We start from the raw sequence: 14,899 nt of genomic DNA, 5'->3' as shown, positions 1-14,899 counted from the left end.
TAGTAGAAAAGGATCTTTTATTTGCTCTGGGCTTTAAGAAAGGGGAGTGGCAGAAGGGCTGCCTTCCAAGTCGCACACACGAATGGGTCACGGGAGCTTCTATCCTGGCTTTGGCCAGATCGGCCTCCAGAGCCGAGCTCGAGCCTCTTCTGCCCCCTGCTGCTTGGCTGTAGCCCCTGCTCTTCTGCAAGTAGGCGGCAACTGCCATTTGCATAAGATCAATATCACTCTCTGTTAATGGCCTTGTAAGCTCCTGAAGGCAGAGGCCCTGTTTCTTCATCGGTGCACCTCCACCTTTTGTTCTAGCTTGGAGTTCAATAAATTTTGGTGGGACTGCACCTGCATGTCTATATAAAGGAAATACCCTTCTCTTTGGAGGGATGCTGTCAAGGTCACTCTCAGAAAAGCAAGCGAGACAAGAGGGTGTTGAGCAGTCAACAAAGCAAAGACTGGATGTGAGGAAATTTATTTCTCCTAAAGCAGAGGCTATGGAAAACTTACTAGGAACAGTGAAGTCTGGCCATCTTATGCTCATTCAGCCATCCAAGGTTGTAAATAAGACTTTGAGAATAATAGTGATGGTTCACTTATACGTAGTGAACTTTTCAAAGGGCGTTTGCATCTGTTATCTTGTTTGCTCCTTCAGTGACTGTGACATTGGCAAGACAATTATTGCTGATGATGCAACAAGCCCCAAGAGGTTAAACCAAGTTACTCTTGAGGCAGGGGCAGGTTCGACATTAACATGGGTTTTCTGACATAAATTGAAAATCTGAGCAGGTTAAAAAGAATGATAATGCCTAGGTTAGGGTTCTCATAGAAAGTAACTGAAAGCAATCTTTCCCATGGCAGATTATGGAGTCATAATTATGTTTTTAAAAACCTTTTTCTGTTTTTTTTTTTTAATATTGAAGTATATATTGGAAACAAGGCCATATCCAATGCTACAGTCCAAACCAAACTTTTAAAGCCAAGACAGCGGAATGAAACTTACTCTTAGCCTTCTTCCCTTAGCTGTTGAGCAGACTTAACAAACTCTGGTAAGAAATCCGGCATAGGCAGGAACCTTACAAAAAAAAAAAGGAGGCAGTTTAGTTCCTTTCTACATTATAGTTTCAGAGCTTTCCTATGAAACTATACCAAATGGGGCCATTAGAAATTAATGCTCTCTAACCTGTATCCTCCGCAGTAAGTGGCTCACTGCAATCTCTGCCTGCCGTATTCAAGCGATTCTCCTGCCTCAGCCTGCCTAGTAGCTGGGACTACAGGTGTGCACCACCATGCCCGGCTAATTTTTGTATTTTTAGTAGAGACGGGGTTTTGCCTTTTTGGCCAGGCTGGTCTCGAACTCCTGACCTCAGGTGATCCACCCACCTCGGGCTCTCAAAGTGCTGGGATTACAGGCATGAGCCACTGTGACTGGCCACAAATACACGTTTTTTTTGTTTTTTTTGTTTTTTTTGTTTTTTTTTTGAGACAAAATTTCATTATTGTTGCCCAGGCTGGAGTGCAATGGCACAATCTCGGCTCACCGCAACCTCCGCCTCCTGGATTCAAGCGATTCTCCTGCCTCAGCCTCCTGAGTAGCTGGGATTACAGTCATGCGCCACCACGCCCAGCTAATTTTGTAGTTTTAGTAGAGATGGGGTTTCTCCATGTTGGTCAGGCTGGTCTCGAACTCCCAACCTTAGGTGATCCGCCCGCCTCGGCCTCCCAGAGTGCTGGGATTTCAAGCATGAGCCACCACACCCAGCCGCAAATATGTGTTTTTTTTTTTTTTTTTTAATTTATTTTTTTATTGATAATTCTTGGGTGTTTCTCACAGAGGGGGATTTGGCAGGGTCATGGGACAATAGTGGAGGGAAGGTCAGCAGATAAACAAGTGAACAAAGGTCTCTGGTTTTCCTAGGCAGAGGACCCTGCGGCCTTCCGCAGTGTTTGTGTCCCTGGGTACTTGAGATTAGGGAGTGGTGATGACTCTTAACGAGCATGCTGCCTTCAAGCATCTGTTTAACAAAGCACATCTTGCACCGCCCTTAATCCATTTAACCCTGAGTGGACACAGCACATGTTTCAGAGAGCACAGGGTTGGGGGTAAGGTCACAGATCAACAGGATCCCAAGGCAGAGGAATTTTTCTTAGTGCAGAACAAAATGAAAAGTCTCCCATGTCTACTTCTTTCTACACAGACACGGCAACCATCCGATTTCTCAATCTTTTCCCCACCTTTCCCGCCTTTCTATTCCACAAAGCCGCCATTGTCATCCTGGCCCGTTCTCAATGAGCTGTTGGGCACACCTCCCAGACGGGGTGGTGGCCGGGCAGAGGGGCTCCTCACTTCCCAGTAGGGGCGGCCGGGCAGAGGCGCCCCTCACCTCCCGGACGGGGCGGCTGGCCGGGCAGGGGGGCTGACCCCCCCCACCTCCCTCCCGGACGGGGCGGCTGGCCGGGCGGGGGGCTGACCCCCCAACCTCCCTCCCGGACGGGGCGGCTGGCCGGGCGGGGGGCTGACCCCCCCACCTCCCTCCCGGACGGGGCGGCTGGCCGGGCAGAGGCGCCCCTCACCTCCCGGACGGGGCGGCTGGCCGGGCAGGGGGGCCGACCCCCCCCACCTCCCTCCCGGACGGGGCGGCTGGCCGGGCGGGGGGCCGACCCCCCCACCTCCCTCCCGGACGGGGCGGCTGGCCGGGCAGAGGGGCTCCTCACTTCCCAGTAGGGGCGGCCGGGCAGAGGCGCCCCTCACCTCCCGGACAGGGCGGCTGGCTGGGCGGGGGGGCTGACCCCCCCCACCTCCCTCCCGGACGGGGCGGCTGGCCGGGCGGGGGGCCGACCCCCCCACCTCCCTCCCGGACGGGGCGGCTGGCCGGGCGGGGGGCCGACCCCCCCACCTCCCTCCCGGACGGGGCGGCTGGCCGGGCAGAGGGGCTCCTCACTTCCCAGTAGGGGCGGCCGGGCAGAGGCGCCCCTCACCTCCCAGACGGGGCGGCTGGCCGGGCGGAGGGCTGACCCCCCCACCTCCCTCCCGGACATGGCGGCTGGCCGGGCGGGGGGCTGACCCCCCCCACCTCCCTCCCGGACGGGGCGGCTGGCCGGGCAGAGGGGCTCCTCACTTCCCAGTAGGGGCGGCTGGGCAGAGGCGCCCCTCACCTCCCAGACGGGGCGGCTGGCTGGGCGGAGGGCTGACCCCCCCACCTCCCTCCCGGACGGGGCGGCTGGCCAGGCGGGGGGCTGACCCCCCTACCTCCCTACCGGACGGGGCGGCTGGCCGGGTGGGGGGGCTGACCCCCCCATCTCCCTCCCGGACGGGTTGGCTGGCTGGGCTGAGGAGCTCCTCACTTCCCAGTAGGGGCGGCCGGGCAGAGGCGCCCCTCACCTCCCGGACGGGGCAGCTGGCCGGGCGGGGGGCTGACCCCCCCACCTCCCTCCCGGATGGCACGGCTGGCCAGGCGGGGGGCTGACCCCCCCACCTCCCTCCCGGATGGCACGGCTGGCCGGGCGTGGGGGCTGACCCCCCACCTCCCTCCCGGATGGGGCGGCTGGCCGGGCGGGGGGCTGACCCCCCCCCACCTCCTTCCCGGACGGGGTGGCTGCCGGGCGGAGACGCTCCTCACTTCCCAGATGGGGTGGCTGCCGGGCGGAGAGGCTCCTCACTTCTCAGACGGGGCAGCTGCCGGGTGGAGGGGCTCCTCACTTCTCAGACGGGGTGGTTGCCAGGCAGAGGGTCTCCTCACTTCTCAGACGGGGCGGCCGGGCAGAGACGCTCCTCACCTCCCAGACGGGGTCTCGGCCGGGCAGAGGCGCTCCTCACATCCCAGATGGGGCGGCGGGGCAGAGGCGCTCCCCACATCTCAGACGATGGGCGGCCGGGCAGAGACGCTCCTCACTTCCTAGATGTGATGGCGGCTGGGAAGAGGCGCTCCTCACTTCCTAGATGGGATGGCGGCCGGGCGGAGACGCTCCTCACTTTCCAGACTGGGCAGCCAGGCAGAGGGGCTCCTCACATCCCAGACGATGGGCGGCCAGGCAGAGACACTCCTCACTTCCCAGACGGGGTGGCAGCCGGGCAGAGGCTGCAATCTCGGCACTTTGGGAGGCCAAGGCAGGCGGCTGCTCCTTGCCCTCGGGCCCCGCGGGGCCCGTCCGCTCCTCCAGCCGCTGCCTCCCGGGCGGCGCTCGCCGGCGCCGACTCCCATAATTTACTTTTTCTAGCGCAAATATGTGTTTTTAACAGAATTTAATGATTCATTTCTGATTAACAATGGAATATAGAGCTTTTATATTCATTGCCCTAAATTGTCTAATTAATTCGTGGGTGCTAAAGTACCTGGGCTGAGATTTTAGAGTTCAGTGGAATCCATAAGCACAGAATACCCCAGCTCCAGATTACTTAAAAAAAAAAAAACTACTCACTTGATATCCCTTGTTCCACACCTTAACATAAACCCCAATCCCTTACAATTTAGCTGCCCTATATCTCCTTACCTCGGGACTTTACTCTTTGCAAAGTCATAGCTAACTAACCTGATCAATTCTATTCTTTCAAACTAGAAGTCTCAGGATTGCCTGTGCTTTCCCCCCATTCTTTCCTGTCACATCTAATCACTAGACTCTCTTGATTCCCCCTCAGGAATGTCTCACATCTTTCCCCAGCTCTCCATCCCCACTGCTACTTAGTTCAGACCTTCATCTCATATGACTACTATTTCAATAACCTTTGCACCCATCTCCTGTCCTCCAGTCTCTCCTGTCTCCAAGTCTCTAAGCTGTCACTAGAATTATCTTTCCAAAGCATAATGTTACAGATATGTTTTCTCATTTTATATCTCCATTGCTAAGAGCAGTGTCTGGAATATAGGCAATGCTGAATAAATATTTATTGTTGACTAAATTACTGTTAATTTGGCCGGATGCAGTGGCTCATGCCTGTAATCCCAGCACTTTTGGAGGCCGAGGCCGGCAGATTACTTGAACTCAGGAGTTCGAGACAAGCCTGGCTAACATGGCAAAATCCCGTCTTTATTAAAAATACAAAAATTAGGCTTGGTGCTGCACACCTGTAATCCCAGCTGGGGAGGCTGAGGCACGAGGATTGCTTGAACCTGAGAGGCGGAGGTTGCAGTGAGCCGAGATTGCACCACTGCACTCCAGCATGGGCAACAGAGAAAGACTCCATTTCAAAAAAAAAAAAAAATTACTGTTAATTTCACTGCTTCTCTGTAAATATGCCCAAATCTAGTGAGAATGCATTTTTGTCTCCTTCCATCTCTTCCTTCCCATTTCCTTTTCCCACTAAAGCAAAGAAGGAATAATGATAACAATTGTAACTACTATTTATTGAAGTGAAACATAAAGCCAGAAAAAATAGATAAATTGTACTTCATCAAAATTAAAAACAGTTCATTAAAGGACACTATCTACAGAGTGAAAAGGCACGCCATGTGATGGAAGATTTGCAAATCATATATCAGATAAGGGATTAGTATCCAGAAAAACATAAAGAACTCCTACAACTTAACAACAAAAAAGCAACCTAATTTAAAAATAGGCAGAGGACTTGAATTCCTCCAAAGATACACAAATGACCAATAAGCACAAGTAAAAGATGCTCAAGATCACTAATCATCAAGGAAATCCACATTAAAACCACAATGTGATACTACTTCACAACTAGTAGGATGGGTATTATATATATATTATATGTATATGTATATGTATAGAAACCAGAAAATAACAAGTTTGGTGACGATGTAGAGAAACTTGTAATTCTTGTACATTCCTGGTAGGAATATAAAATGGTGTAGCTGGCTAGGTATGGTGGATCACACCTGTAATCCCAGCACTTTGGGAGGCCAAGGCGGCAGATCGCTGAGGTCAGGAGTTTGAGAGCAGCCTGGTCAACATGGTGAAACCCCATCACTGCTAAAAATACAAAAATTAGCTGGGCCTCGTGGTGCATGCCTATAATCCCAGCTACTCAGGAGGCTGAGGCAGAATTGCTTGAACTCAGGAGGCGGAGGTTGCAGTGAGCTGAGACCGCGCCATTGCACTTCAGCCTGGGCAACAGAGCAAGACTCCATCTCAAAAAGAAAGGAGAGGAGAGGAGGGGGAGCAGAGGGGAAGGGAGGGGAGGGGAGGGGAAGGGAGGGGAAGGGAGGGGAAGGGAAGGGAGGGGAGGCTGTGGAAAATGGGACAGCATTTCCTCAAAAAATTAAACATAAAATAATTGAAACAGCTTGAAGAAATATGGGTATACCCATGTTCCATAGCAGTATTATTCACAATAGCCAAAACGTGGAAGCAACCCAAGTGTCTTATCAATGGATGAATAAACAAGCAAAATTTGGTATATATGTGTGTGTATGTATATATATATATGTATATGATTCAGCCTTTGAAAGGAAGGGAATCCTGGCTGGGCATAGTGGCTCACACCTGTAATCCCAGCGCTTTGGGAGGCCGAGGTGGGTGGATCACCTCAGGTCAGGAGTTCGAGACCAGCCTGGCAAACATGGTGAAACCCCGTCTCTACTAAAAATACAGAAAATTAGCCGGGCGTGGTGGCACATGCCTGTAATCCCAGGTATTCGGGAGGCTGAGGCAGGAGAATCGCTTGAACCTGGGAAGCGGAGTTTGCAGTAAACCGAGATTGCGCCATTGCACTCCAGCCTGGGCAACAAGAGCGAAACTCCATCTCAAAAATAAAAAAGGAAGGGAATCCTGATACTTGCTACAACATAAATAAACCTTGAAAACATTATGCTAAGTGAAATAAATCAATTATAAAAGGACAAATAGTGTGATTGCACTTATATGAGGTACTTAGAGTAGTCAAATTCATACAGACAGAAAATAGATTGGTGATTGTCTGGGCTGGGAGGGGCTAGGAGGAGGAGAGAATGGGGAGTTATTGTTTAATGCATAGTGAGTTTCAGTTTGGGAAAATGAAAAAAGTTCTGGAGATAGATGGTGGCAATGGTTGCACAATAATGTGAATGTACTTACTACCACAGAACTGTATACTTAAAAATAGTTCCAAATTGTTACATTTTATGTTATATATTTTTTACCACAATTTTTAAAGAAAAATCTCCAGAAATTTAGAACTCATCTTTGAGTCTTTTCTTTCCTTTCCCTTTATTCTCCATCTACTCCTTACCTTACTGCAACCCATCAGCAAATCCAAAATATATTTTTAAACTGACTACTTCTTTCCATCTCTCTTACCTCCACACCAATCCAAGACACAATAATCTCTCATCTATACAACCTTAGTAGCCTCGTAACTGTAACTGAACTCTTCTTTCCATCTTGTTCCCATCAAAACCACCCACACAGCAAATGGGCCTATAAATGGCCTCTTTAATAGGTAAACTAGAAAGTGCTAGCAATCCACTACATTATCAGAGTAAAGGAGAAAAAGCATAACTATTTTAGTATATGAAAAAATATGACTTTTTATATGATATATGTGATATGTCATATATATATATAGCATATATTTGTACATCCTGAAATAGTATGGTTTTTCCTCTTTAACACATATGTACTATTTGATATATAATATATATCACATATATATGGAAAATATGTAAATATGTAATGTATGATATATAATATATCACCAAGATTTGGCCGGGTGTGGTGGCTCACACCTGTAATCCCAGCACTTTGGGAGGCCGAGGCGGGTGGATCACCTGAGGTCAGGAGTTCAAGACCAGCCTGGCCAACATGGTGAAACCCCATCTCTACTACAAATACAAAACTTAGCTGGGCGTGGTGGCAGGCATCTGTAATCCCAGCTACTCAGGAGGCTGAGGCAGGAGAATCATTTGAACCTGGGAGGCGGAGGTTGCAGTGAGCCGAGATCGCACCATTGCATTCCAGCCTGGGCAACAGGGTGAGACTCCATCTCAAAACAAACAAACAAACAAACAAACAAAAACTCTTAGCCAACTTGGAATAGAATGAACTTCTTCTTGCTAATAAAAGGTGTTTACCAAAACCTATAGCAACTTTTACTTAACAGTGAAACATTAAAAAAACTCCTTTTACATTAGGATCAAGACAATGATGCCTATCATTGCTTCTACTGGACACTATTCTAGAGTTCCTAACCAGTACAAGATAAGAAAAAGATATTAAAGATATAAAATCATAAGGGAGCAAACAAAACTGCCCTTACTTACACAGGATATGATTCTCTGCAGAAAAAAATCCAAAAGAATTTCAAGTAAACTATTTAAACTAACAAAAAATTTCAACAAGGATGTGACTACAAGATCAATATACTAAAATCAATTTTATCATAATAAATCAGCAATTATAAAATATTTTTAAGATGGCATATGCAATAGCAATAAAAACTAAAAGATACGTAGATCAAAGAAAGAAATACAAGAGAAAAAGTATATAGAGAACATTATAAAACTTTACTGGAAAGTATAAAAGAGGATCTAGCTGCTTCTGCCTCCTGCCTCCTGCCTCCTGCCTCCTGCCTCCTGCCTCCTGCCTCCTGCTTCTGCCTCTGCCTCTCCCCACGGTCTCCCTCTCCCTCTCTCTCCACGGTCTCCCTCTGATGCCAAGCCGAAGCTGGACTGTACTGCCGCCATCTCGGCTCACTGCAACCTCCCTGCCTGATTCTCCTGCCTCAGCCTGCCTAGTGATTGGGATTGCAGGCGTGCACCGCCACGCCTGACTGGTTTTCGTATTTTTTTGTTGGAGACGTGGTTTCGCTGTGTTGGCCGGGCTGGTCTCCAGCTCCTAACCGCAAGTGATCTGCCAGCCTCGGCCTCCCGAGGTGCCGGGATTGCAGACGGAGTCTGGTTCACTCAGTGCTCAATGTTGCCCAGGCTGGAGTGCAGTGGCGTGATCTCAGCTCGCTACAACCTCCACCTCCCAGCTGCCTGCCTTGGCCTCCCAAAGTGCTGAGATTGCAGCCTCTGCCCGGCCGCCACCCCGTCTGGGAAGTGAGGAGCGTCTCTGCCTGGCCGCCCATCGTCTGGGATGTGAGGAGCCCCTCTGCCCGGCTGCCCAGTCTGGGAAGTGAGGAGCGCCTCTTCCCCGCCGCCATCCGTCTAGGAAGTGAGGAGCATCTCTGCCCGGCCGCCCATCGTCTGAGATGTGGGGAGCGCCTCTGCCCCGCCGCCCCGTCTGGGATGTGAGGAGTGCCTCTGCCCGGCCGCGACCCCGTCTGGGAGGTGAGGAGCGCCTCTGCCCAGCCGCCCCGTCTGAGAAGTGAGGAGCCCCTCTGCCTGGCAGCCACCCCGTCTGAGAAGTGAGGAGCCCCTCCGCCCGGCAGCCGCCCCGTCTAGGATGTGAGGAGCGTCTCCGCCCGGCAGCTGCCCCGTCCGGGAGGGAGGTGGGGGGCAGCCCCCGCCCGGCCGCCTCCCCGTCCAGGAGGTGGGGGGCGCCTCTGCCCGGCCGCCCCTTCTGGGAAGTGAGGAGCCCCTCTGCCCGGCCGCCACCCCGTCTGGGAGGTGTACCCAACAGCTCATTGAGAACGGGCCATGATGACGATGGCAGTTTTGTCGAATAGAAAAGGGGGAAATGTGGGGAAAAGATAGAGAAATCAGATTGTTGCTGTGTCTGTGTAGAAAGAAGTAGACATAGGAGATTCCATTTTGTTCTGTACTAAGAAAAATTCTTCTGCCTTGGGATGCTGTTAATCTATAACCTTACCCCCAACCCCGTGCTCTCTGAAACATGTGCTGTGCCTACTCAGGGTTAAATGGATTAAGGGCGGTGCAAGATGTGCTTTGTTAAACAGATGCTTGAAGGCAGCATGCTCCTTAAGAGTCATCACCACTCCCTAATCTCAAGTACCCAGGGACACAAACACTGTGGAAGGCCGCAGGGTCCTCTGCCTAGGAAAAACAGAGACCCTTGTTCACTTGTTTATCTGCTGACCTTCCCTCCACTATTGTCCTATGACCCTGCCAAATCCCCCTCCTCGAGAAACACCCAAGAATGATCAATAAATACTAAAAAATAAAAAAATAAATAAAAATAAATAAATAAATAAATAAAAGAGGATCTAAATAGATGGAGAAAAATACTATGCTCTCAGACTGAAAGAATCAATATTATAATCCAGGCAAAATGGCTCATGCCTGTAATCCCAGCACTTTGGGAGGCTGAAGCAGGTAGATTACTTGATGTCAGCAGTTCAACATCAGCTTGGCGAACATGGTGAAATATCGTCTCTACTAAAAATGCAAAAATTGGCTGAGTGTTGTGGCAGGTCCCTGTAATCTCAGCTACTCCGGAGGCTGAGGCAGGAGAATCAATCAAACCCAGGAGGCATACATTGCAGCAAGCCAAGACTGTGCCACGGCACTCCAGCGTGGGCAACAGAGTGAGACTCTGTCTCAAAAAAAAAAAAAAAAAATCACTATTATAAAGATGATGACCAGGTGTGGTGGTGTGGGCCTGTAATCTCAATTATTTGGAAGGCTGAGGCAGGGGGATTGCTTGAGCCTAGGAGTTCAAGGCCAGCTTAAGCAACACAGCAAGGCCCTTTCTCTAAAAATAAAAATAAATTAAAAATAAACAAATAAAAGATGTCAATTCTCTCAGACTGATTTATAGATTGAATGCATTCCCAGTAAAAATCCCAAATGTGCATGGTGTTCTAAGGTGAAAATAATCACAAAGACACTCTCAGGGTTAAAAAAGTAGAAATGGCCAGGCACGGTGGCTCACGCCTGTAATCCCAGCACTTTGGGAGGCTGAGGCGGGCAGATCATGAGGTCAGGAATTCTAGACCAGCCCGGCCAACATGGTGAAACCCCGTCTCTACTAAAAATACAAAAATCAGCCGGTGTGGTGGCGCAGGCTTGTAATCCCAGCTACTTGGGAGGCTGAGGCGGGAGAATTGCTTGAAATCGGGAGGCGGAGATTGCAGTGAGCTGAGAGCATGCCACTGCACTCCAGCCTGGGCAACAGAGCAAGAAGCCATCTCAAAAAAAAAAAAAAAAAAAAGGTAGATGTAGTAGGATCACAGATAAATCTAAAAACAGTGTCAAATGGGAAAAAAGCAAACTGCTAACAAATATGTACAATATATCTAAAATATACAATGTTCAAAATATGTGGAAAATACTAGGTAGAGCCAGGCATGATGGCTCACACCTGTAATCCCAGCACTTTGGGAGGCTGAGGCGGGCGGATCACCTGAGGTCTGGAGTTCGAGACCAGCCTGACCAACATGGAGAAACCCTATCTCTACTCAAAATACAAAATTAGCCAGGCATGGTGGCGCATGCCCGTCATCCCAGCTACTAAGGAGGATGAGGCAGGAGAATCGCTTGAACGTGGGAGGCAGAGGTTGCGGTGAGCCAAGATCGCGCCATTGCACTCCAGCCTGGGCAACAAGAGGGAAACTCTGTCTCAAAGAAAAAAAAAAAAAGAAACGAAAATACTATGTAGGAAATATGTAGTAAAAACATGCACAGGAATGACAAATGCCAAATTCAAAAATGTTGTGACCTCTGTGGAGAAAAGGTGAGGAATGAGTTAATGTGTGAATGTATGGGTACATGCTTTCTATTAACTTAGTAGGAGAAAAAAATCAACCTCTACCACGTGGACCTCCAGAGAGGGAAGCAAAACCCCATGAAAGACGCTTTTTATATTCCTGTAGGCTTTTGTTTGTTTGTTTGTTTGTTTGAGATGGAGTCTCGCTCTGTCGCCCAGGCTGGAGTGCAGTGGCACAATCTCGGCTCACTGCAACCTCTGCCTCCTGGGTTCAAGCGATTCTCCTGCCTCAGCCTCCCGAGTAGCTGGGACTACAGGCACATGCCACCATGCCCGGCTAATTTTTTTGTATTTTTAGTAGAGACGGGGTTTCACCATGTTAGCCAGGATGGTCTCAATCTCCTGACCTCATGATCCACCTGCCTCAGCCTACCAAAGTGCTGCGATTACAGGCGTGAGCCACCGCACCCAGCTGCTCCTGTAGGCTTTTAAACAGTTCTATTGACAATTCAGTTTTGGCCTGGCATGTTGGCTCATGCCTATAATCCCAGCACTTTGGGAGGCTGAGGCAGGTGGATCACCTGAGGTCAAGAGTTCATAACCAGCCTGACCAACATGGTGAAACCCTATCTCTACTAAATACAAAAAAAATTAGCCGGGTGTGGTGGCCCGTGCCTGTAGTCCCAGCTACTTGAGAGGGTGAGGCAGGAGAATCGCTTGAACCCAGGAGGCAGAGATTGCAGTGAGCCAAGTTTGAGACGTTGCTCTCTAGCCTGGGCAACAAGAGTGAAACTCCATCTCAAAAAAAAAAAAGAAAAGAAAAAAAATCAGTTTTAAGTTTCCTTCCTTACATTGTAACTTTTTTCAAGTCACCCTCAAACATACAGCGTAAGTTCTTAAACTTCATCAAGTATCAGAATCACTTGGAGGGCTTGTGAAGGGTGCAGTGGCTCATGCCTGTGGCTCACGCCCATAATCCCAACACTTTGGGAGGCCGAGATGGGTGGATCACTTGAGCTCAGGAGTTCAAGACCAGCCTGGGCAACAAGGTGAAACCGTGCCTGTACTAAAATACAGAAAATTAGCCAGGTGTGGTGGTGCACGCCTGTAGTGTCAGCTACTCAGGAGGCTAAGGCAGGAGAATCACTTGAACCCAAAAAATGGAGGTTGCAGTGAGTCAAGATGGCACCACCGCACTCCAGCCTGGGTGATAGAGCCAGACTCTGTCTCAAAATAATAATAATAATAATAACAACCATAAAAGAATCACTCAGAGGGCTTGTTGATATATGGATTGTTGAGCTGGCCCCCAGACTTTCTGATTCAGTAAGTCTAAAGTGGGACCTGAAAATTTGCATTTCTAACAAGTTCCCAGGTATTGCTGAAGTGGCTGGTCCACGGATTATGCTTAAAAACCACACTGTGAGACCTACAGTAAAGTCTGTCTACAGAACACAGGTGTTTTTGTGGTTGTGAGGAATTAAGAGGCAGTGAATGAAAGCCTGCCATTTTCTACATTCTCTTTGGGCTGAGGCCAGCACAGAAGCTCATAATTCTAGGTGGTGAATAGGAGTATTGACAGTGCAGCAGGTGGGAGCCACATGTCAGGAGAATTAGTGTGATATGAACCCCCTCTTCCAAATACATGCCTGAAGAAGTAAGTACAACGTAACTGGTTGAGAAAATCAAACCATGCCCCTCATGCCCCCACCCTAGTCCCCATCCTCAGCACAAACTTGATTTATACCCTGAAGGTGTGGGGAGGAGGGGATTGAAAATGCTGACCTCCATCCCATACCCAGCAAACCATCTTGTCCCTGGGCTGCTTGAGCTTCTGAGCTAACCTGCAGCGAGTCCCATTTTTGCATTTTCAGCTAGCTGGGCTACTCCCCAGACCTGCCCCTTTATCCTTCCAAGGTTGGGAGGAAACCTTGCTGTCACTCTGGATGAGACGTTTGTATTGGTTTAATGGGCTCTTGGTGGGAACTTCAGAGTTTGATTATTCTCAGCAATCAGCAGAGGCAGTCATGCGTTTCTGGGCCCTCCAGCCTCACTCTGTTCACCAGCTTTCCAGGCTGGGAATGTACCCACAAACCCTTGAGCTGACTGAAAGCCCAGGGAACTTGTGTGCGTGCCTGCATGAATGTGTATGTGTGCATGCCCAAGAGGGAGCTGAAGGCCAGTGCACAGAAGGCCAGAGGCCCCAGGCTGGTCATTATCTCCAAGCCAGAAACTTCCTGTCCCTGAATAGGACCCTGGCACAATGCCAAACAGCCAGACTCTCACCCTATATAATGAAGTTCTCACTGATTATCCTGATGATGGCCCAGGAGACCTGGGCCTAGGGAGGTTCGTCTGCTGTCAACCCTGGTTCCTATTTCCACTCCACTGTGGAAATTAGGATGTCCCTGCAGCTCCCCCATCATCTCACTTCCCCAGCATAATGCCTATCCCCAAGGGACCCTGATCCTGGAGCTGAACTGAAATGACAGCAACAGTTTATTAACTGGACTAATGAGAGGCCTGGGCAGGGAGAGAAAGAGAAGCTGGAAGAGTGAGAAGGAAAGGGATGAAGAGAGGAACACTGTATAGCACAGGAAGACAGAACTAGATTTAAGACCAGAGCCAGCGGCTCACTTTCTGAGTGTTTGGGGAGAGGCCGGGGAGGGACTTAGAAGATGGTTTTACAAACTTCATATTCTGTATAGGAAACATGCTATTTTTTCATCAGCAGCAAATTAGAACAGCCTCATTTCCTGATTGCCTGTGTTCCAGGCACTTTACTGTTTTACATGTACTCAGTTAATCTTCGTAAGATTCCTATGAGATGAGAATATTCATTTTACTGATGAAAAAGCTGAGGTCCAAAGAGCTTTGCCCAAAATCATACTCATAATAAGGAATAGGCCAGGCACAGTGGCTCACGCCTGTAATCCCAGCACTTTGGGAGGCCAAGGTGGGCAGATCACAAGGTCAGGAGTTCGAGACCAGCCTGGCCAACATGATGAAACCCTGTCTCTACTAAAGATACAAAAAAGTAGCTGGGCATGGTGGCATGTGCCTGTAATCCCAGCTACTCGGAGGCTGAGGCAGGAGAATCTCTTGAATCCAGAAGGCAGAGGTTTCAGTAAGCCGAGATCACGCCATTGCACTCCAGCCTGGGTGACAGGGCAAGACTCCATCTCAAAATAAATAAATAAATAAAATAAGCAATAGAGCTAGGATTTGAACCTAGACAATCTGATTCCAGAGCCCAAACTCTTTTTTTTTTTTTTTTTTTTTTTTTTTTGAGACAGAGTCTTGCTCTGTCGCCCAGGCTGGAGTATGGTGGCGGGATCTCGGCTCACTGCAAGCTCCGCCTCCCAGGTTCACGCCATTCTCCTGCCTCAGCCTCTCCCAGTAGCTGGGACTACAGGTGCCTGCC

At 49.5% G+C, this 14,899-nt stretch overlaps 1 long non-coding RNA gene across 1 annotated transcript in view, besides 1 other annotated feature; it reads left to right on the top strand.

Moving 5' to 3' along the window:
* Positions 1 to 14,899, top strand: part of LRIG2-DT (LRIG2 divergent transcript) — a 61,416-nt gene that overhangs the window by 176 nt on the left and 46,341 nt on the right. The window lies entirely within an intron of this gene.
* Positions 9 to 258: an enhancer, noted in NCBI's record as "active region_1524". NCBI's record gives its function as "activates an Ori minimal core promoter by ATAC-STARR-seq in GM12878 lymphoblastoid cells {active_cell/tissue: GM12878}" and the evidence as "EXISTENCE:reporter gene assay evidence [ECO:0000049][PMID:35858748]".

This window comes from Homo sapiens, chromosome 1, assembly GCF_000001405.40.
Source record: "Homo sapiens chromosome 1, GRCh38.p14 Primary Assembly".
Taxonomy (NCBI): domain Eukaryota; kingdom Metazoa; phylum Chordata; class Mammalia; order Primates; family Hominidae; genus Homo; species Homo sapiens.
The sequence above is the reverse complement of the archived record's forward strand: the minus strand, read 5'-3'. Positions and strand labels throughout refer to the sequence as shown.